This window comes from Homo sapiens, chromosome 2, assembly GCF_000001405.40.
Source record: "Homo sapiens chromosome 2, GRCh38.p14 Primary Assembly".
Classification (NCBI taxonomy): Eukaryota; Metazoa; Chordata; class Mammalia; order Primates; family Hominidae; genus Homo; species Homo sapiens.
The window spans coordinates 155,840,333-155,864,863 of NC_000002.12; the positions used below are offsets into that span (position 1 = coordinate 155,840,333).

Genomic DNA, 24,531 nt, shown 5'->3' on the forward strand with positions numbered 1-24,531 from the left:
GAGCTGGCTTAACGTGTGTGTCTTGTCTATAACTACAAAGTTGGCTTTTGTTTCTTGAAGAGACAAATCTGGTTATGGGGTTTTCCAAACCTGTGATGACATAAAAGTATAGTGCCTGTGATGCTGAGCATGGATTCTTAGATTCAAAAATTCAATTTACATTGAAAATAAAACAAAATTACACCAATTCATTTAAAATTTCTACCACCCGTTCTTTCTAAGGAAATAGCATCAGAAGGATTAATTACATCAGCATTATGTTATACTCACCCAATACGTATTGCTGCTTGAGTTCATGTGTAGATGATTTCAAAGCTGCAGAAATCACTTTTTAAGTTCTACTAGGTTAATCATATATCTCCTTCTCATAGTTACTGGTGCAGTTACCCCTTTAAGTGGCTTTCCAGCACTATTGCTTTATAATAAAATGTTCCAGAGTGTCTATATATAAACTGAAGCTCAACTTGTCCATGCAAACTAACTTGTTGCATATGTATTGCAAAGAAATTCCATTTCGTCAGTTGATTTATTGTTGTATCAAAAGAAATAAACTCTTGAACCCCAGGGGGAAAAAATTATGCTGTTTCATTCTACTTATGATGTTTCAACATAGGCCAAAAAATAACCAGGCTTATTTTCTCCAGTGAGGAAACTGAAATGAAAGCCAAAAAAAGTAAAATTTTGGTCAAAATCAATGTTTTTATATACTTTTAATTTTAAGAACTGCTCTTCTTTCTGAAAATGCGCAAGCTTCATTTCATAAGTTTATCTTTTCTAGAAAAGTATTGCTAAACCATTTGTTCTTTAAAATATATTGTATATATTAAGAAAGAGGATGATAGGTAAAAAAAGGAATTAGATGAAGTAATGAATTTCTTTCTAGCTAATCCTTTTAGTGAAATATTTGCTTAAACATTGGACTTGGTTGAAGCAGTGTAACTGTCCTTGCTATTTTTCATCATCTGTGTTTAAAGCTCTATACAATAACACTAACAGAAGCAGCATCAATAAAAAATAACCATTATGAAATATTTGTATGTTTTCTGCAAAGTCTGAAAAAAAGTAACATTTAAATTTCTCAATCTAAAAGTAGCGACTATTATCCCATTTTAGAGAAGAGTCTGAGGCTTAGAGACGATAAGTAGCTTGCTTCAGGTTATAAATCTAGCAGATGGCAGTCAGAACTTTGAAGCACTTCATCTGACTTTAAAGCTCATGGATGAATTGAATTACTCACATTCCTGTGTTCCCTTTCTCTTGCACAGGAAATCAGCCAATTGGCTACTCAATGAGCTAGATGACCAAAATTGTCTTTATTATTATTTTATTTCAAGTTGTTGTTCTTTCCCACCCCTCTCCCCTACCCTCTCACGACCATCTGGGTGGGGAGTACTGCCATTAAAAATGCAAGTGTGACTTTCAAAAAGGGTATTTGCATGATTAGCAAGGCTAATAGAAGATCGAGTTACTGTAGCTGATTAACTCTACTATGGTTGTCAAACAAAAGAAAGGGGTAAGGAATATCAAATGGAAAAAAAAAAATGTCTAAATTAGATTCTCAGTTTCCCAGAATGTGACATATGAAGACTTCTCTAAGGAAGAAAACACATTAGTTCTCTGAGTGATGGTACTTGAAGTTGTTTCAATACGTTATTCAGCTTTATGCTGTGAAGCAACTTACAGTACTCCAATTGTTTACTCACTCAGCTACATGTAAAATGTGTACTTAGGAATGCTTTATAATAAGATATGCAACAAAGTCTGTCTTATTTAACTGCACTGATTAGAAGGGGCAAGCATTTCATTTTGGCACAGTGTGGTGCACTACATCATTTCATCTCGTTTGAAATATTACTCAGAGTTCAGAATGCCAAGCTTTGAGCAGAGAAGAACAATGTGTGGTTTTTTTAAAAAATAAAATAACAATAGTGATGATGAGAAGAGAATGAAATAATGCAATTCTTGATTCTGTCAGATGGCAACTAGTTCGGGGGTGGGGAGGGAAGTAAGTCCCATGATGTTGCCATAACAGAATCTAAAAAAAACCTTCCGAGATTACAAAAGAAGCAAAGTTTAAATCTACCCTGTAGGAGTGCGGGTCACCAAAGCACTCGGTGACTAAATGAGAAAGACTCGAAGAAAATGTCTGTGAGAAGAGCTACTGGTAAGGAAGAGAAAAAAAAATGCCAGGCAGCCTGAAAACAAACCTGACCTTAACGGTGACCATATCCAAAGTATAGCAGAAAACCTCCTTGAGCAAAGCCAGGGCAGTGAAGAAAACAATAAAAAGCTATGTGGAATCACTTATGCTTATTTTTTATTGGAAATAATGTATTTGGTTGGCGACCCTTGAGATGTGTTACTGTCCACCTATATGAGTTCCAGATTTTGCTCCAAAAAGAAGGGACATCTACTCCTTTTTGAATATAGAATGAGTCCATTTATCTGAAGATAAAACTCACGTTAGAAAATTGTGGTCTGTTGCCTCATTCTGTCTCATCTTTAGGTGAAGAAAATGATGTCCAAACAAATTGAATGACTGCTCAATGCCATTACCATGCCATTAGTGTAATCACCAGTCCATACTGTACTTGCAGGGTGTGTGTGTGAGTGTGTGTGCACGTGCACACCACAGCAAGGTAAATTGTATTTTAATCCCTTCATGCTAAATCATATATTTATATTTTCACACTTTTACAATTTTAAAATGTAAGAGCATTTACAATTAATTTGTACATTTAAAGAAACCATGTTTTAGTTTTCTTTTATTCTTTTTTGCTTCCTCCCTCCCTCCCTTCCTTCCTTGCTTCCTGCCTTCCTTCCTTCTTTCCTTCCTTTCTTCCTTCCTTTCCTACCTCCCTTCCATCTTCCTTCCTTTCTCACTTTCCCTGTTTTATTTCCCCCCACTAAGAAAGCCATTGTTAAAGCTAAGATCCCTTTTACATTCTTCCCTTTGCCAGACAAGTAATTTCTAGACCGAGATCTAAACCAGTAACACAGAATACCTAATAAGCAAATCATGATTATGATGGAATTTTCAACAGAATATCACTACCAGTACAGCTAAAAGTTTTTCTTGTTTAATCATTTCAAATCCACTGAAGCATTAGCTATACAATGATTAGAACACATCTTTCCTAAGTATAAAGTGTTTTCTTCACTCTATCACATTTATCATTTTAATTATTGTTTTCATCCACCAACAATGATTTAAGTTACAGAAAAATACTATGATGCATCTCTCACCTTTAAGCTTCTGGTCAGTACCAAGTAAAATTGAAACTAAGCCAGTATTTTGTAAATTGCATCAGTGTAGATAATTCATGTTTTATGAAGATTAGACTTGTATAGAAAGTTGTTTTAAAATTATTACACTTAATTAGTTGCTAAAGTATATTTTAAATAATATATTATAGAGTAAGCTTCAAAGAGTGTTCACACACATTTGCAACAAATCCAGAAAGTGTGGGTAAAGAGTTTTGTGGGCTCAATTTAAAAGGCAATAAAATGAGATCAAGTTAACAAAGAAAACATATGTATTTACTTAGCTATACAAATTTTAGGTTATTTTATTAGTATGTTCATATGATACAAATTCTTTCTAAAAACCATCTCAATACAACTTCGTAAGGTGCCTCATTGCATGAGTGGGAGAGTGAGGAAGGAAGAAACCAACACTGACCATTTATTTTTGTTTCATTTTCTTCTATATTAGCATTCATATTTTATGTGTGCACTTCCTTTGAAAATTGCAATTTGTTTAGCTTTCAGCCACTTTAAAGATTAGAACCATATCTTATCCACTGAATTTTACAGTTAGTATAAGACTGATTTTTGAGTAGTTTTAGGAGAAATAATAATCTCTCTTTTCCTGATTCTAGCAGATAAGGATACTATTGATTTATTAAAATGCCAATGCTAATTGATAAATCCAAATATTGTTGGTCAAACGAACGGTACAACATTGAGATACTTGCAAAAAGTTTATATTCCTTCTAAAGAGAAATCTCTACCTAGGAATTTTTCAGATTGGGTATATGATGCAACTTTTATGACCGAAAGTTATCTTTTTGCTTGCTTTCTGTTGCAGATTTAAAGAAAGAATATAACTGCAACCATTCTGTGCTTATCAGACACCTATTTTCTCCAAACAGTCTTCCAAATGAAACAATACAGATCTATTAGTGTAATTATCGCATAAGGTCATTTACCACTTTATAATTGCTGCAGGTTGTGAATGATGTATGAAATGAAAGCATCTGCAGTGCAAATAGAACATAGGCAAGAATGTGCTGTGTGCTAATTAGGTAACCATCTCATGATAAGACCCTAGGGAAAGACAGAATGGCAAAATCCCACAGTGCTCTGCAGTCACAAGGCAAGAAAACATTCCTAAGGAGTTCAAAAATATATCCATTATTAAGTATAATCCTTTCCTCTCTTCAGAATCTCTGAGCTCTGTTCCCTGCGTGCACACAACCCTTCTGTCTCCTTCATCCTGTGCAATGCTAATCAAGCCCTGACAGTCAAGAACCATTTGATTGTTGTGAGAACTGCTCTCTTTATTCACATTAAAAATTGAGGACTCAATCTTTTATTTGAAGAGTCTTGATAAGTTTCGGTATTTTACTGTGTTTTTTCCTGGCCCTTTCTATTGGCCTTTTTGTTTCGAGAATGGCACATTATGGAATAAGGATGTTAAGGCTCAGTCATTATGATAGGGGACTATAGGGAAGGGAAAAGCATGGTCCCTTTAAATGGCACGAAGAGGGGAAGGGAAGTGCTGGGTAGAGAAGGGTGGTCTCTGGCTAGGGCTCCACCCCCACAGACCTTAGGTGAGGACAGGCATTTCCTGCCCAAATGTTGCATTTCCCAAGACCACCCTGGCCTGCCAGGCCCCCATCCTGGGCCTATAAAAACCCGAGACACTAGCAGGCAGACACACAAATGGCTGGACGTTGTGAGGAACACATTGGCAGAAGACACAAGCAGCTGATCATGGAGAGCACACCTGGCGGAAGCATGCGGACAGCCCCTGGTCGGCCTGATGGCAGACCATTCACCAGCAGAATGCCGCAGAGTTTGGCCAGAGCAGTCCGCCAGGCTAGGTGGCCAGACTCCAGGGGAAAACCATCTTTTTTCTGGCTCCCCTCTCTGCTGAGAGCTACTTCTACTAAAAAACAAAACAAAACAAAACAAAACAAAACAAAAAAAAAGCCTTGCACTCATTCTCCAAGCCCACGTGTGATCCGATTCTTCAGTACACCAAGGCAAGAAACCCCCGGATACAGAATTCCTTCTGTCCTTGTGATAAGGAAGGGGGTCTAATTGAGCTGGTTAACACAAGCTGCCTATAGACGGCAAACTGAGAGAGAACCCTGTAACACACACCCACTGGGGCTTCAGGAGCTGTAAACATTCACCCCTAGACACTGCCGTGGGGTTGGAGCCACACAGCCTGCCTATCTGTATGCTGCCGTAGAGGTCTGAGCCGTAGGACACTGAAGAAGTGAGCCACAGTCCCATGGCAAGCCTTTCGAAGGGGACACGGGAAACTTGCGTTTCAATTACAGCCTCAACTTAGCGGGGAATGAATGAAGTTCATGTTACTTAAAGCAAAACCCTTCTTTCTTTATGCAGCAATCTAACAAATTTAGATAAAACGAAATACATAGGCCAGGAAAAAAATGTAATAACAAACTGAGTTCTTAATTCTTAAATATCCAGCTGAGTGTTTTATGTGGGTGAACTACAAATTTCAAGAGTCTGACTGAAACTGAGCACCTGACAAATACATTGAACAATTTGACCAAATTAACCAGTTGGATGTTCTTTCTTCTCTGCTTTCACAATGCACTACTAAAAATGTTTGTTTAATTGTCAGCTGTCCCCATTTGGGTAGAGAGTATTTAATTCTATAAAGCTACCTACCAAAATGCATAATCTATTCATTCTGTATACCAACAATTGCAATTACTTTCTCTTTATGTGTCTGTTTGCTATTTATATAATATTTTCCCCATATCTTGCTTTCTTCTTGAGTGCCACATGATGTACTTTTTATGATGTCACCCTGTCACTTCCCATTGCCACTCCAGTACAATGGGGTTACTATGAACTTGTCTTTAATGACAGCATTTGACCTTGTGGTTAGCTTCTTGCCTTTCTATTTACTGCTATTTGTGACTCATAAATGTTACTAATCAAATGTGTCTACATGCTTCACACAACAGATTCAAGATCTTTGGTAAACTACTCTAGTCTGGAACTTTTGTCTACACTGATTTTTTTCTGCCAATCTTCTAATTGATGGGGTCTTTGTCTTGATAAATTTTCTCTAGGTTTTTGCTACTTCATGGTTACTTAAATAAGCAGAACTTAATACTTAATGCTTACTGCTTTTTATTCTGTGGCATCAGTTTTTAGATTGTGAATGCAGTTTCCCAAATGTTGGTTGTTTATGCAGACAGGGTAAACATTTCTAAACTACATTTTTTATATGTCTCCTATAAGGGTTAGTCATTTTTTTAATTAAAAAATATGTATTGCATGCCTACTATGTGACAGAAATAGGTATAAATTCTCAGACATAGGGGAAAAAGGAGAGAATGTCATTATTATCACAGAGTTTACACTACAGGTAGAAGAAAACCAAAAAATAAACAAGAAGGTTCTCAGGTAGTTGTAAGTATTTGGTAGAAAATTATGAGTGCAATGCGATAGTGAATGCAAATTTAGACTGAGGATTTAAGAAGGTATCTCTGAGGATGTGATATTTATGCAAAGATCTGAATGACACAAAGGAGCTAGCCGTGATAAAATCTATGGGAAGAACATTGCAAGTCAAAGGAAGAGTTAGTGAAAAGGTCAAAAGGCAGAAATAAGCTTAGTTCCCTTAGAAGTTCCTAGAAGGTCTTAAGCCTGGAAATATGTATACAGTGTAACATTTTAAAATATATCTCAGGCTACAGTGGGAAGAGTTGAAGAATCAGGGAATAAACAACAGGATTCTTAGTTAATTGTTGCAGTAGTCCAAGAAAGAGAAGATGATGGCTGGAACTAGGGAAGCTGGAGATAATTGAATGCATTTGGAATATATCTTGCAAGTAGAATTAACCGAACATGCTTATAGAAGAGATGGCAAGAAAACTAATGAGAGTAATACAGGATAATTCCAAGAATTTTGATTATCAACAGATAGATGTGAGTCCATTTACACAGACAGGAAAGAATAAGGGAGGAATCTGTTCTTGGGCGGGGGGGGAGTAAAAGTTTTGCTTAAGATATATTTTGACTTATAAAGCCTTAGAATCATGCCTGTAGGAATGCCAAATTAGCACTGGAGATAAATTTAAGTTTTATTGGAACCCTAAGACTAAAAAAACTTGCCTAAGGAGTTTATCTAGATAGAAAAGACAAAAGAGAGCAGATCAATGCACCAAGGGCCCTCCAATGTCAGAGGTGGAGGACAGGAAGCAAACAAAGAAGTAGAAAATATCGTGATATCTCCTGGCTAACACGGTGAAACCCCGTCTCTACTAAAAATACAAAAAATTAGCCGGGCGTGGTAGCGGGCGCCTGTAGTCCCAGCTACTCGGGAGGCTGAGGCAGGAGAATGGCGTGAACCCGGGAGGCGGAGCTTGCAGTGAGCCGAGATCGCGCCACTGCACTCCAGCCTGGGCGACAGAGCGAGACTCCGTCTCAAAAAAAAAAAAAAAAAAAAAAAAAAAGAAAATATCGTGATATAGTATCCCTGAAGCCAAATTTAAAAAAGCATTTCAAGAAAGAAGGAAAGGTTTGTTATGTTGAATGTTTGGGAGAGGTTCAGAAAATGACAGTGAAGTGACAACTTGATTTGGAACACGGATTTATTTATGACCTTGCTAAGGAAAATCTGAGCAGAGTGATGGAGACCAAAGTCCAGCTGGGTTGTGTTGAAAGAGAATATATGGAAAAGAAGTGATTTTAGTCAATCATTTTAACAAAAATTTTCTGCAAAGTTGAATGGGGAAATGGGATAGAAGTTGAACAGCAATATAGGCAAGGGAGCCTTTTGCCATCCAGGGTATCGCATATTTGTGTGCTAATGGAAGAGATCCATAAAGGAAGAAATTGATGTTGCTGGGGAGAGGCAGGACTGACCTTTATTACATCTTGTGAATTCTACAACTTTTTGTCACTTTCATTCACTAAACCTGATTTTAGGCTAATTTAAAACTTTAGTTTCTATTTGATTCAAGAGAAGGATCTGTGCCTTTTCCTTTTTCCGGCTACTTGAAGGGCATAAAGAATTTGAAGTAATGAGACTAGTATCTGGGTTTTCCTGTTAGGCTTGCTTCTTCTTTGGGGTCTGGCACCTCTGAGGTTGGAGGCAAGGAGGACAGTGAAGTAGAAAGGAGCTGCACGTCCATTTGGAGGTATCCCTGGTTTTCTTCCAGATCTTTAATTCTTAGAAGGTTTTCTTGAAAATGGTATTTAGCTTTACCCCAAGACTCTGCCACATGGGAGGACTTCACAGAGGGGAAATCCTGGATTCCTTCAACCCTGGTGGTTCTCCACATCTACACTTTCTCTCTGGAAAAGCTTCACTTCACATGGGCTGCCCAACATAACTTTCCTCTCTTCTCACCTCTCACCTCCTCACATCCTTCAGAGAGCCGTAAAAACTGACAGGTTTTCCCTCTTACACTCTAAGAGCTGAGGATAAGTAAGTTGACTTTGATTTGCTCCCATCTTCTTCATAGGCATAATACATTATATTTGCCTTCAGAAATATGCAGATAAGAAGCAGAGACCAGGTCTAAGTTCATATTCTCCTTTGGTCATCAGGGAACATATCTCAACTCTCCCTCTTCCAAGAATACTGTTATAATTTGTGCTTCAATTTACTATAAATTTTATAACTTAGCAAGCATTCAACCAGGTAAGCAGATTTTCAGATTTTTTTTTCTTCTTTTCGGCACCTGCAATCTCCATGAATGATTCTCCTAAAGATTCATTCTTCTTTATCACTTCGCTTGTGTAGAGAGAACTACTTTACCATATAAATGATGCACTTTTCGAAAAATTTCTCTCCATTCTCTCCAATCATCTCACAAAGACTCCAGAGGAAGGTAAGATGGTGGCTCAGTGCCAATAGCAGTAGGAGTATATAGCCAGAAAATGAGCAAGTTTTCCAACAAAATTGTTGGAAGCTTGATTCTGTGGATCTTTGTGCAAAAAGATACCTTACTAAAAGAGCAAATGGGGACTAAAATCTATTCTGTTTAGTGCTGATGAAACCTCAGGTCATGGAGCAGAGCTACAGCTGTACAAGGGATGCCTCCTCTAATTCACTGTAAGTAGGTATGAGTTAGTGCTGCCATGCTTACAATTTTTCTTTTCATCCATGGGCCAATAGCATACTTCACAGGAATAGGAAACATCCCAATCAAAATCCTTTTACACTATGTATATGCATACTCATATGACTTTCATGTTTATCAAGCCATTCTGGAGTCTACTTTAAATATCATTTAGCATTAGGGTGGAATTAACCTGTAAATAAATAAATCTTCCTTCATTCAACTGAAACTGATTGTGTATAATATTTGAAAGTTTCTATTATAGAAAAACAATAACAACAAAAAATAGTCATTTAAAAGACTCAGGCAGCAGTGTGTAGAAACTCTAGTTCTGATATTTACTTACTAGATTACCTTGGACTATTTATTTAACTTCATTGAATTTTAGTGTGTTCAAGTATAAAGTGAAGCTCTTAATGCTTATTTCATGAGATTAATTTGAGACTTAGTGAAATAATTATGTAAAACATCTAGTATAATGTCTGGCAATATGATGCATGTATAATAAGTGATGAGTATTTTTATTAACACTCACTGTATTTAATGAAGCCTTGAAAATTATGCCCTGATAATCAACTTTGTTAAACTGTAAGCTATGTGATGGTAGGAACCATGTCTTATTTATTTGCGTATATAATATCTGCCACATTGTAGGAAAACTATAAATACCTGATGAAATAAATGAAAGGGAATTCTTTGATGGAACTTAAAAGCAGCAGAGCCAAAGCACAACCAGATATTCAGTTACTCATTTTTCCACACCAATTGCTGGTAGCAAGCCACCAATTTACCAGCAAGCTGGTATCAATTTAAGGTAGCAAGCCAACTTAAAACTTTGGTATTTAAAACAGCACAATATTCATTTTGCCTACAAATAACAATTTGGGCAGACCTTGGTTGGGACTACATACTCTAGTTAGTGTCAGCTGGGGTTATTCAAAGCTGGGGGCCAGAATCCTTTGAAGGCTCACAAATTTACAAGCTGGTCTCTGGTCTAGAAAGATTTAAATCGCTGAGAGCTGGACAACTTAGTAGCATTCCTCTTTATCTCTATGTGGTCTTTCCAGCCTGATGGCTTCTAGCTCAGAGCTTCCAAGGCATGAGTCCTGAGAGAGAAAATGCCAGGCAGAAGATGTACCATGACTGAGATCCACTTGCACTATATTCTCTTCATCAAGTTGTAGAACAGAACATATTATTGCGGACTGTTTTGAAAATACAATCTATGAAAATCTCATTGGCAATATTGTTCTGTAATTGATCTAAGGTAATCTAACCAGCATTTTGTGACTAAGAGCAATGAAATACTTTGAGCATTATACCTTTCCTGTTTACAATGACAGTAATGCCTGCAAAATCCTAAGGCACATTTTCTTCAATACACCGTAAGTGCAGGTCATAACAAGTCATAATTTTCCAGATATCTTTTCTCTGAACTCCTTGGTCAATTTAGGTGCTTACATTTGCCTCTATCTGCACACCTTCTGCTAGAATCAACATCCACCGGTACACATCAAATTAAATATTCTGAATTTCATTGTTTATTCAACAATAACAACAATCACAAAATAAAAACGGAAAATAAAAAATAAAGAGAGGGGGGAACTTATGGCTTGAAAGAGTCTTAAGAGACATGAAAACTATTTATAATAATAGACCTACTAGGTCCTTGATTTAAATAAACAAAAGAAAAAGGTTAGATAACTGGGAAATTTGAACTCTGACTCAACATGTGACAATTCTAAGCAATTTTTTAAACTTTTACAAATTATAATAATATTATATGTTTAAATTATAAGACTGTATATTTTAGTGATAAATACTAATTGAATGATATGAATGAGATGATGTCTGAGATGTACTTCAAAATAAACCAGGGGCAGAAAATGGAGTAATTTAGATGGAACTGTGCACACTTTAATAATTGTTGAATATGGATGATAGGGATATGGAAAATTCATTGTTACCTTATTTTTTACTATGTTTGAAATTTTTTTATTTTAAAAAGTTTGTTTGACTTGTTTTTAAGTTCTGATTTAGAGCTGGAAATCTGTCTCAGAACTTCTGGTCTTAATCTTATCAATGTTTAACTGGTGCCTTGTTTTTCTCAGACCTCCTCATATGGGCTTCATACTTTTTTATTTCAGTATGGAATAGAGATTAGAATCAAATCCACTGATTATATTCGTCATTGTTTCACAATTGTCCAATTTGCTATAATCATTGCTTATGTTGACTTTGTGCTCTTGGAAATCCCAAAAGGCTTACCTTTCTGATCCTTACCCCAACCTCACAAGCTTAACCTCGGTCTATATTGGATAACTACTGTTCAAAATATTTGTTGCCCTTCCTTGTTGAAAAATAATCCATCCCTACCCATTGCCATCAAATTTGGTCATAGAACTTGCTTTGCCCAGTAGAATGTGAGGAAAGATGTGTGTGATACTTCAAAGATAGGTTATCATGTGATTCTAATATTTTCTTTTCTCCCTGACACAAAACCAGCAATGTTTCAGATAGCAGCTGCTACCTTCAGCCTGGATTCCAGAACAGATGTGACTTAGAACAGAGACATAGCCAACCCAGAATGGATATATAGTTAAAATGAGGAAATAATTTGTTATAAGCCACTTGCTTTGAGGCTGTTTGTTACTGCAGCATAACTTAGCCTAAGCTGCCTGACACAAATTCTGTCCAATCAGCATTTGCTATGGCTTGCTCAGTCCTGGATACACTTTTCCACCCACAACAATCCATCATCTACAAACTAACCTGGTTAAGTTTGATGTTAGATATAAAATGAGGTCCTAGTTTTATAATTAATGACACGATCATCATAATCTAGATAACTTCATTTGCAATGTCAAAGAGATCTGAGATTAACGTTTATCTGTGTATATTCATAGCCAGCTAATCTCTGCAAGAAATTGTTTTGTGATTATTGGTATTATTGTGTTAAGTTGGTAAAATAATGAGCTCAGTTTATTATATGTTCTTAAATATCTGGAAACAAGTATTAGAATACTGAATAATAGAAAGTGAACTTTAACAGCAATAAATATTATTGCTCAAGTTTTCATCTTTTTGGTACAAGCACAGTGATAGTCCATTAAAATGAGGAATGTGCTACTTCTCTTTTAAGTCAAGAATGCCAGATTAGTTATGCATGAAAAATAAAGTAGTATTTTATATCAGTCAAGACAGACTAGGTAACAAACAACCACAAAATCTCGGTGGCTTAGCATCTATAATTTATTTTTGGTTCATGCAAAGTGTGCTATAGGTCAGGACAGTTGTCCTTTTGGGCAGTTGTCCTCTGTGTGGCAACATAACAATCTAACCTGTTTGAATTTTGCTGCTTCGCCCTCTCAACAAATAATTTTCATGATTAGAATTGAAGAAATTTTGACTAGAGAATGTTGCTCCAGGGGCTTTTCATTGCCTCCACCTGGGATGGATACATTTCATTGGCCAGTTGGTCACCTGGCCTTACCTAAAGTTATGCAAGCTAGCTCAGCGGACTCAAAAAGAAAAGGGATATTGATGAACAGCAGTAATGTCTATGACATGCTCCTTTCATGTTTTAAATAATATAAAAAGACAGCCTACTAAGGGATGGTTACATTGATGGAAATGGAAAGAGAGAAAGGTTGCCCACAAAAAATTTAATTCTAGGGTCATCGAATTCCCACCTGTATGCAAAATAAAATAATGAAAGAAGTGTTTTACCATCAATGCAGTAAGATTACACCAAATTATACAGTACCATCTCCCACTACTGTATTTCTCTCAATAGAAAATAGGATCTATATCACTGGAAGAATAGAGTTGGCAATAATAACAATAACGACAATAATAACAACAATATTGTTAGCTAACATTTGTTGAGGGCTTATTCTATGTTGGTCATTATTTAAAGAGCTTTACAGGAACTATTTTATGTAAAATGTCCTAAACAGAGAAGATCTGGAAAACAGTTACTACTTACCTAGAAAGGTATATTTCAAATCTTTTAGCAATAACTAATAAAGTCAAAATTGCTTCAAAGAAAACATGAATGACAATGACACCAAGGAACGTCTGATCTTAATGACAATATCTTAGTCTATATAGTAGTTTTCATATTTCTTTACATTCTCTTATGATTTGGCAGTAGTTCAAGGATAACATATGTGCATTCCAGTGCTCCAAGTATTTTTGAGTCTGTGCTAACATAAAATGTGCTTTCACCTCACCAACTTTGTGCTATAATACCAACTGGGGAATATTCTCATGTATGTCAATCAGACATAGGGTAGACACTAGATATCTTAATCCTGTCTTAGGTCGGCATGTGGGTGGATGGGGGGAGAACTTAAACAAAGAAATTAGAAGACTGTCTAAGCCCTTATAAAAAATAAGGGAAGAGGCATACAAAACTCAGTACAGTAAGGTGGAGAAGAATATGATAAGGAGGACACACAAGCACCTGTAAAAGGTATTGGTAAACTTTTACTTCTTAAGCTGGTATGGGGTATATAGGTATTTTTTATTTTAAAATGCATATATGCTATACACATTTGCATAGCATAATTTCACAAACAGAAGAAAAGTTTTTTGTGGGCAAAAACCTATACAAACACAAAATCACAGCTATATTTGTTTCCTCAAATCACCTTATAAATTTATTTTTGCAATGTTGAATAAAATACTTCAGGAGAAGGTGATAATTCAAAAAATATTTTCAGGCATAGTGACAATTTTCATTGATAGGTAGTTACACACAGTGGAAATATGTCAGAATTAATTGGGTTTGAATTAACAGTCAATCCCCAACACTAAACTATCAGGTACAGATTTTATGAGTGAAAGCACTCTTGTGACTTCTAACTTGTCTCTCTGGGTTTTCTGGCTGTCCATTAGATATATCCTTAAGGCTGATGCCAGTGTACCTTTGGAAAATGCAGATCTGACGCCTGATTCCTGCTTAACATCCTTCAGGGTCACTTGAATTTCCATGGAATGGTATCAGGGCCCTTACCTTCATTTTAAGGTTTACCTTCCTCTACTCTCATCATGTGATAAAAATGTACTCAGCCACATGCCGTCTCTCTCCCTTGCTTTTTTCTTTTTCAACTTCCTGCTTTCATATGCTGGACTCTTTTTCAGGTACGTCCTTCTCCACCTTATCTGCCTGGCAAACTGCTACTCACGGTGTAAAATTTAGCTCAATTCCTTACCTCTTCTTAAAAATTCTCCTGACTTTTCTAAGTGGATTTCAATACTTGCTCCTTAAGCTCTCCCAGCCCTTGCCTGCACCTCCATAGTTACACTTAATGCATTTTGTTTGAATCTGTCTCTCCCACTGGAATGGGAGCAAAATGAGAGTTAAGCCCTATTCTATTCATTTTTGTATACTTAGGGTTTAGAATAGTTACTGAAACATACTGGGCACTTAATAAAAGTTTATTAAGTGAATGACTAGAAATGGACGTAGATAAGAATCTTTAGAGCTAAATGTGCAGAATCTCCAATACAACTGAATCTGGTTTCCCTCAAGTTTGATTAAATAATTAGCAAATGAGTCATATTATTTCTTGCTTAACATGATAATGATCTTCTCCTTATATCTCACCTAATGACTTATACTGTGGTTTACATGGATTTCATGTGTCATGAACTGGGCACTAGGTTGATGCTTTGCATGCACTCCTCTAGTCTTCACATCAGTCCTTCTAAAATGAACATTGTTATCCCCATTTCACGGAGAAAACCTAAAGTCTGGAATAATTGGGTAACTTATCCAAAATAAGATAGCTAAAAATTGGTAGACTCAACCTCCGACTATTCTCCAGATGGGTATAGTATAACTCTACTGCACAAGAAAATGTACCAGGGATTATACAGGTATGATGATTTTTCAATCTTCAATAACACAAACCACTAGCAAGCCTGGGTGATTTATTCCCAGATAACCTATTCTCAGACTACAGATTTTCCCAAGGGCCTGTTCCTACATCCATGATGGAAGTATGTGAAGACCTTGAATCTAGAAGCAGGAAGATCATCTCCCTTTAAAATTAAAGTCTGCATTTCTGAACTATGGGAAAGGAAAAATGTTTTAGTAACTCATTTTGAGAGTTTTCGTTTATACAGTCTGGGTAAACACTTCCATTTTGGTCATCAATATTTGCTGTCACTTCCCTTAAGAATAACAAAAGTCTAAAGCTTCTGGCTTTCTACTCACATTTCAGTAAGTAAAACAAAATAGCCTATATTTTGTCTAGTGTGATCCCTAGATGGAGATTCAGATCCATTACTTTATCATTTTTTAAAGTAAAATTGTTTCACAACCATATCTAGATCATTCTATTTCTAATAAAATATTTGATCACTCCTGACAATTCTGAAAGGTCTATGAAACTTTGCTTTTTACCTGTGTTTGAGCCTATAGAAATCATTTATTTAAACTTTGTCCTTATTTTCCTTTGCTAAAGCAATAAGGAACAACTTATCTTTGTTTTTTTAATGGGTAGTCTTTTGTTCATTGACTGGAAGATGATTATCAATTCAATTGACTGTTTAGTTTATTGAATGTTGGTGATTTATAAAATATTGTGTATAAAATGCATAATTAAAAGATATATACAAGAAAGATGTCCAAAGACAAATCTCCATAACTAAAATAGAAGACCTGTCTATAACTTTGAGGGTATAAATCCAATAAAAGGCAATGTGCTCCAAAGTAGCTATATTCATGCATGAAGTGCTTAATGAAATATGCTATTTCTAGTACAAATAATTGCCTTTGTTTCCATCATCTTGACTGGTGCATCATAGCAACCTACAGAATAGTGTACATTTTATCCTGAACTACAATCAGGCAGTTCATAAAACTAATGGAAATGAAGATTTTGCTGTTTGAAGTGGTCAAATTTCCATTTTCAAACACAACACAGGTTATAACCACTGATGGTATTTGGGTTTGCTTTTGAGTTTTAGGATAATAGCATATTATAAAGAAAATCTACCAATTTTTTTCAGTTGAACTATGAGAGAAAAAGGCCCATTATCTGCCTGGAAGAAAAGCAAACGCACATGGTGTTTTTAAATCAAAAATATATATTTGTTTGTAGCTATGTGCTATTTGCAAATTTAAGATCATTAGTCCTGCTTAAGAGACCAGAGAATTTGTACAAGCAGATAAAATTCTTTCTTCTCTTACTTTTAAATCTATTTTAGAAATAAAAAAATTTTTTAAAAAGCAGTGTGAGAGAGCACTTTTTCTTCCTATTTCAGTGGTCTGTGATCCATAAAATCTAAGTGGTTATTTAGAACAATCCAACCTGAATGGATATATGTTGTTACATATCTTTGCCTTTCTAATAGTTTTCCTTCTGAATATTCCTTCCACCTATCTTTCTCTGTATGTAATTGAAAACCCCAAAGGCTTTCTTCTACTTCAACTCAAATCCCACTTCTCCTTGGAGTACTTCACCACCTAAACCTCCTAACCCAGTGATCTTATTTATTCAACAAATACTTTGGAAGAGACAGCCTAAAGATCGTCCTCCATAACCTCTACTCAAGTTAGGAAAAATTTGCTACAAGATTCCTAACATATTTAACTGTTGGTTGAATCCTTTCAACTATGGGGAGCTCATTTCTTTGTGAAGCACCAGTTCCTAAAACATCTTCCCCCTAGGTAAGCTAAAATCTACCTGCCTGTAATCTTTATGTATAGGTCTCTGTTCTGCTTCTTAAGAACAGACTGAAGTGATTAAATCCCTCTTTCAAGTAATGGTCCTTCAAAAAGTTGACAAAAGGTGTCGCGTTTCACTCCTGCATTAGCTCCAAGTCAAAATAGAAGACCTGTCTTATATGCCCAATTTCTTCCACTAATCTCCATTAGGTACACATTCTAGTTACCCCATAATGTTGATCTTCTTCCACATACACTTCAGGTAAGTGATATTCCTTTTTAAAATATCACTCTAATAACTGCTCTGTATTTTGATATTAGTGGTGTTTATGTGATCTTATACACTTACCAAGACATCAAACTACATTCAAAATGTGTGAATTTTTAGGAAATATAAATGATACCTCAGTAAAAAACAAAGATACTGGGGCAAAGATATTCACCTAAATGGAACACGGTACCTCAGAAATATAATCAGAAAATAATGCACCGAAGCTCGCAACTCTCTGTTTCTGGACACCATTTTTCTTTTTAAATTTTTCATCCACAATAATACTGGTAAATATGCAGTCAAGAAAAATTGCAAGGATCTTCTACCATTTGTGGAAAATTATACACAATTAATTTTATAGGCCAAACATAATTCTAAACATACATTCCAGATTTATTTCTTTTTAACTTCTATGTATCTTCAATGTTCATTCATTCACTCAGCACACATTTATGGAACCTATATTATAAGCCAAGGTAAACAAAAGACTTATGTACCCTGCCCTCTTATAGCTTACAGCCACTTGCAGGGAAATAGTGTGAAACAAAAGCAAGAGAACAAGAAAAATAATTACCATTTGTATTAATGTAACGGGGGATGGGTGCTGAGATAAAGAATAGCTTGAGAAGATGGGTAGACAAACCCAATTTAAACTGAAAGTTTAAGGAAGATAACATAAAGGAATTCACATTTAATTTACAACTTTAAGGTTATGTTACAAGAAGCAATGAGGGGAAGATGTAGAAAAATCATAATATAGGCCAGGAAAACAGAGCTTAGCTTGTTTGAGGAAAAAACTGACTGCCAGAACTGTAAGAGTAACATGGAAGACATGAGCAAGAAATACAGGAGGAGAGTTAGGCTGTACTAAATCATGTAGGCTATCATAAAGGAACAGATTTTTTTTCCTATATGCTTTAAGAAGCCATTATCAGATTTTCAATAGAAGAATGATATCATCCAAATGCAAATTTTACAAAAATCACATCACCTGATGTGTATGTAATAGATTGGATGTTGACAAGAGGAGAAATGAAAACACATCAATACAAATATAGAATATAGAACAGGGATAGGCCTGGACCACAATACTTGAGACCTCCTCTTAGATCAAGATATGTCATCACCTTTTAAATAGGATTATTCAACCTACGTTCTCAAAAGTGTAATGCACACACTTTTTGGGTATGCAAAATGATCCTTTGAGATAAGAAAAGAATAATATGAAATTTCTATTTATGTTAATTTTATCCCTTAAAATATTCTGAGACATTTGTTGCCTACTTCATAATATACATATTGTACTACCTTCATCCTTATATGTATTACATATAAGCACATGTATAATAAGGGAGAAGCTTTAAAAGTTATGTTGATATAAATTTAACCAGCTGATACTCCATTTAAACTATGATCCAGTGTGTGTGTGTATCTCTTGTCCATAAGTCTGTGTCATACATATTTGCTTGAGCCTTCCTCTCTCAAACAATATGGCTATAATGGCTTTAGATCACTACACATTTCTGTTAGTAGTAACAATTCTAGGTTCCACTCTGTTTTGTATTTAAACTCTTTAGGAAGGAAAGAAATGATTACAAAAGTTTAAGCATTGCTGAAAAGTGAATGGTCATATAGTCATCTTTAAAATGACAGAAATATTGAACAATTTTTAAATTATTAGCCACAATTAAAAGCATAATACAATTTATAATTACCCCCAAAGCCCCACAATTAACAAAACATCTTATGTGTAAACCTACAAAATAAATATCATATCTATACGCTGCAAATTATATAATGCTGATGAAAGAAAGATCTTAGTAAATGTAGAGATATGCCATGAGCATAGGTTGGAATGCTCAACATACTAAAGGTGTCAGTTCTATCTAAATTGATCTGTAGGTTTACTGCATGCAGGTCTTATTAAAATTCCAGCAAGATTCTAGCCAGTAGAGTGAATCACTCTACCAGATATAAGGGCCTACTAGATAGCTAATAATCAATGTTATGTGGTATTGACAGAGGGGCAGACACACAGATCAATGGGACAGAATAAAGAGCCCAGAAGCAGACTAATATAAATATGCTAAACTGATTTTAACAAAGGTGCAAAAGCAATCCAATGGAGAAAAGTAAGCCTTTTCAACAAATTGGGCTGGAACAACTGTATATCGATAGTCGAAAAAATGACACCCAACTTAAATCTCACATTTTATATGAAAATTAACTCATAATGGATTACAGATTTAAAACTTTAGAAAAAGTTAAGAAAAAAATACTTCCAGAAAAAAAACAGGATAAAAATATTTGGGATCTAGGCCAGGCAAAAATTTTTAGAATGACAACAAAAGCATAAATTATAAGAGAAAACAAACTGGACGTTATCAAAATTAAAATCTTTGATCTGTAAAAGCTCATGTGAAGATGAAAAGACAGACTAGAGACTGGGAGAAAATACATGCAAACCACATAACAGACCAAAAAAAAAAAAAAAAAGACAGTATCTGGAATATACAAAAACTCTCAAAACTGAAGAATTTTTAAAAATTAATTACAAATTAGGAAAAATACATGGAAAGATATTTGCCTGAAAGAATAGACAAATGCAAAATAAGCAAATGAAAAGATGCTCAACATAATTAGCCATCAGAAAAATGAAAATCATAAACCACAATCAATATTACTGTAAATCTATTAGAATACTTAGGGGAAAAAATAGTGACACCACCAAATGGTGGTGAGAATTTGAAGAAACTGAACCATTTAAACATTGGTGGTGAGAATGCAAAATGGTCCAGTTGTTCTTTTTTGGTTTTTTGTTTGTTTGTTTGTTTGTTTGTTTTAGACAGTGTCTCACTCTGTTGAGTGCAGGCTAGAGTGAAGTGGCACAATCATGGCTCACTGCAGCCTCAACTTCCTGGGCTCAAGAGATCCTCCTGCCTCAGCCTCTGGAGTAGCTGGGAATACAAGCATGTGCCACCATGCCCAGCCTAGCACAGCCATTCTTGAAAACAGTTGGGCCAGGCGCAGTGGCTCATGCCTTTAATCCCAGCACTTTGGGAGGCTGAGCCGGCAGATCACTTGAGGTCAGGTGTTTGAGACCAGCCTGGCCAACATGGTGAAACTCCATCTCTAATAAAAATACAAAATTAGCTGGGTGTGGTGGCAGGCGCCTGTAATCCCAGCTACTTGGGAGGCTGAGGCAGGAGAATCACTTGAACCCTGGAGGCAGAGGTTGCGGTGAGCGGAGATCACACCACAGCACTCCAGCCTGGGTGACCGAGTGAGACTCCGTCTCAAAAAAAAAAAAAAAAAAAAAAGTTAGTCAATTTCTTATCAAACTCAACATGCAATTACCATATGACTCAACCACTGAACATTCGTGTATTTGTCTCATATAAATGAAAACTTATGTTCACACAAAAATCTGTACACAAATGTTCACAGCAGTTTATTTGTAACAGCTAAAAAATGAAAAACCCCAGACATCCTTTCTTGAGTGAATGGTTAAACAAATTGCGGTACATCTATACAATGGAAGTCTACTTAGGAATAAAAAGAAACAAACCGTTGATACACACAACTTAGATACATGTCCAGGAATTAGGCTGAGTGAAAAGTGTCAATCCCTAAACATTAAATATTTTATGATTTCATGTATACAGTCATCCTTCAGTATCTGCAGGAGATTGTTTCCAAGATCCCCAGGGATACCAAAATCCACACATGCTCAAATCCCATATATAAAATGGAATAGTATTTGCATACAACCTACACACATCCGCCTGTATATATTAAATTATTTCTAGATTACTTATTATATAAATACAATGCAAATATTTCTTAATCTGTATTTTAAAATTTGTATTTTTTATTATTGTATTATATTTTATTTTTCTGAATATTTTTGACCCACAGTTGGTTAAATTTGTGGATGTGGAACTCAGAGAGAGAGCCAAATGTATAACAGGTTCAAAATGACAAAATTGTAAAAATAGCAAAAGGATGGGGAAGGAAGTTGGTGTGGCAACAGGAGAGATACTTTTCATGTTGGAGCTGTTCTGTATCTTTATCGATGTCAATATTTTGCTTATGATCTGATACTATTACACTAATGTTGTAAGCTATAAGCACTGGGGGAAATTAGTATAAGGTATGTGTGATGTCTCTCTATTATTTCTTCCAATTATGTGTGAATCTATAATTTTCTCAAATTAAAAAGTTGAAGAAAATATAAGAATATAAGATTCAATTAATGTATAATTAGTGTTATATTTTTAAAATAGAGCATTCACCCCAATCCTTAAAATATATTAGTTATGTGGGAATTTCTAAAGAAAAATTTCACAATCAAAATAAAATATTTGAATATATATGTGTGTGTGTGTGTGTGTGTCTGTGTGTGTGTGCGAGTGTCTGTGTGTGTGTGTGCATGTATATACATGTAAAAATATATTTCGGCAGGGGAGCTGGGCATCAATAAAGCCCATTTTCATGCCTTCCATAAGGTTCATTTAAGCTTATTTTCCCATATGGGGAATATGACAGAATGGAAAATATTCTGCCCAGAACTTATCAAAATTTCTTCCAATGGTTAAAATGTTAAGAAAGGTAAAATACTAATTTTTAATCCAGAATTTCAAATCAAATATTTTAAATTAATAAAATAATTATCTTTAATATAATACATACTTCCTAATAGAGTTAATATATAAGTAGCACTCTTGCTTATGTGTATTTTCCTCTACATGGAATTTTAAAGTGATTGAATCTTCCTGCCCATCTTGTATACTAATGACTAATTCATAAAAGTTTAGTCATTTCAATAAATTCAGAAGCAGAAATGAGGCTCATGAGCCATGCACATATATGTATTTAGAATTGCTGTTCAGCACAATAATCATAAAAACGTAAATAATATACATAGAAAAAAATAACTGGAAAGAAATTCTTACCATGTGGTTAGTGGTAATGTTAGGATGTGGAGGGCATATATATGGCACTCCTTCGTGTATCACAGCAGACATTATCAATCAATTACAGGTACTGTGGCCAAAGAATCTTTCTCAACCCTCTGTGCTAGAGTCATTACAAACATGTTAAATTTAGCAATCAAATTAAAATATTTTCCATTCCTTTGTGAGAAACTGTGTTGTGAACTATTTTTCAAATTTTCTATAGTCTGTTACTTTTTGTGTGTGTGACAAAGTCTTCCTCTGTTGCCTAGGCTGGAGTGCAGTGGAGTGACCTTGGCTCCGTGGAACCTTTGCCTCCAAGGTTCAAGTGATTCTCCTGCCTCAGGCTCCCAAGTAGCTGGGATTACAGGTGGGCACCACCATACTCGACTAATTATATTCTATTACATTTTTTATAAATAATATGATTACATATTAAATAACTTAAAATTTTAAGCTGGCATCAAAACTATCCAAAAGAAATATATTTCTTATCCCAAGAAGACTTGTTTAATGGGAAATTTTTACTATCAAAATTAAGAGAATAAAATACTTGAACTTTTTATGAGAGAATAATTCCAAATGTTAGGGAGGTGTCAGAATTGTTTCATGAACCAAAAATGTGACAAAGATTTGTATGTTCAGGGATAGAAATCAAGTCTTTTTCTTTTTTTAGAACTTTTATTTTTATTTTTAATTTACAAATAAAAATTGTATATATTTATGGTGTATATAATATTTTGATATATGTCTGCATCGTGGAATAACTAAATCAAGCTAATTAACATATTCACTACCTCACATACTTACTTTTATTCTAGTGAAAATATTTGAAATCTACTGTCTCTTAGCAATTTTCAAGTATACAATGCATTGTTATTAACTATAATCACCATGCTGTGCAATACATTTCCTGAGCTTGCTCTTCCGAACAGAGGCTATGTGTCCTTTCACCAACATCTCTTCAATCTCCTATTTCCTCTTGCCCCTGGTAACCACCATTCCAGTCTCTGCTTCTGTAAGTTTGACTTTTTTAGATCCCACATATAAGTAAGATCATGCAGTATTTGTCATTATGCAGTGAGAATTAGCTGTCCATTGATTGGCACTTCGTGTAATTTATTAATAAACATTTACCAGGTGACACTGAATTCATTAGTTCTTAAGGAACAAAATAAGTTAAATATAAAAATGAGGCTATTTGGGAGAAGGATATGAATAAGAAAAAGTATCATGTGGTGAATTATCTTATCCCTCTACTCTTTCTTCCAGCCAGTACCTCTTGAGCCTGACAGAACTTAAAACCTCGATTGGCACCCTTGAGGAGTGAGGCCACTGTTCGGTGGCAAAAAAAAAAAGGAGACTGCCATGCCCTCCCCACCACAAGCGCCCATGCTTGTCAGCATGATAAAATAGAGGTTGGAAAAAGATATAATATTAAATGAAGTTGAATATTTTGATAAATTTTGGGGACTGGACCTTTTCAATGTAGTGAATTGAGCTTAGAAAAATGATAGAGAACATTTTTGTGTGCTTCAAGATCAGAGGAAGTCATGAGGTCTGATGGAAGCACCATCAAGAATCAAGGTGAGGATTATCCTCTCAAATGATTTAAAAGACCAGTGAGACAACTAAATAAAATTGATTTTGTGACATTCTGCTTATTCAATACGCTAAAGACCCAAGTATTTGCTAGTAAGACTATACAGAATGTATATGTACATTATAAAATGTACAAAGCTGGTTCCCCACTAAAACTGACCTTCCAGATAGTCCATAGCTGTTGAACAGCTAACAGAAGTCAAGCACCTATCTCAATGCTGTGATTGTATATGTGTCCCTGTTGAGCCCAAGGACACACAGGTGGTATGGAGGCATCAAATCCTGCATTTTACCCAAACAATCTATATCAAGCAACTATGCTTGAAACATTAAACTGTGTCTTCTAAAACTCTAAAATCTCAAATTTTAAGGAAAGGATACATTTCAATTTTGAGACACCTTATTTTAGTAGTGTAATATTATTAGGCTTCCTATCTGACCATTGTATTCATTATCCTAATTAAAAGTAAATATTATTTTTCAGTACACATGCATGTGGAAAAAGGAGTTCATTTCACTGAGGCCACAGGACAGACACAAGCAATCAAGTAAACAATTAACAAGAGCAAACACCCTTTGGGTTGGGGTTTTGTGGAAAGGAGTGTTAAAATCTCATATTAATCAACTTTGAGACTTCTAGACATGCGAGTACCTTTTCTTAATGGATACAAGAAAAGG

The 24,531-nt window shown here is 35.2% G+C and overlaps 1 long non-coding RNA gene across 4 annotated transcripts in view, besides 1 other annotated feature; it reads right to left on the reverse strand.

Annotated features, from left to right (window-relative positions):
* Positions 1-24,531, reverse strand: part of LOC105373703 (uncharacterized) — a 158,249-nt gene that overhangs the window by 84,268 nt on the left and 49,450 nt on the right. For 3 of the 4 annotated variants that reach the window (XR_001739749.2, XR_001739751.2, XR_001739750.2), the window contains exon 5: positions 271-652. The exons of the other annotated variant lie outside the window; for it this stretch is intronic. This is a non-coding gene — a long non-coding RNA (uncharacterized LOC105373703). The remainder of the gene's footprint in view (positions 1-270; positions 653-24,531) is intronic. 4 annotated transcript variants of the gene reach the window in all.
* Positions 937-1,705: an enhancer, noted in NCBI's record as "OCT4-NANOG hESC enhancer chr2:156697781-156698549 (GRCh37/hg19 assembly coordinates)". NCBI's record gives its function as "activates a minimal SCP1, AML or CMV promoter by ChIP-STARR-seq in primed H9 embryonic stem cells {active_cell/tissue: H9 hESC(primed)}" and the evidence as "EXISTENCE:reporter gene assay evidence [ECO:0000049][PMID:30033119]".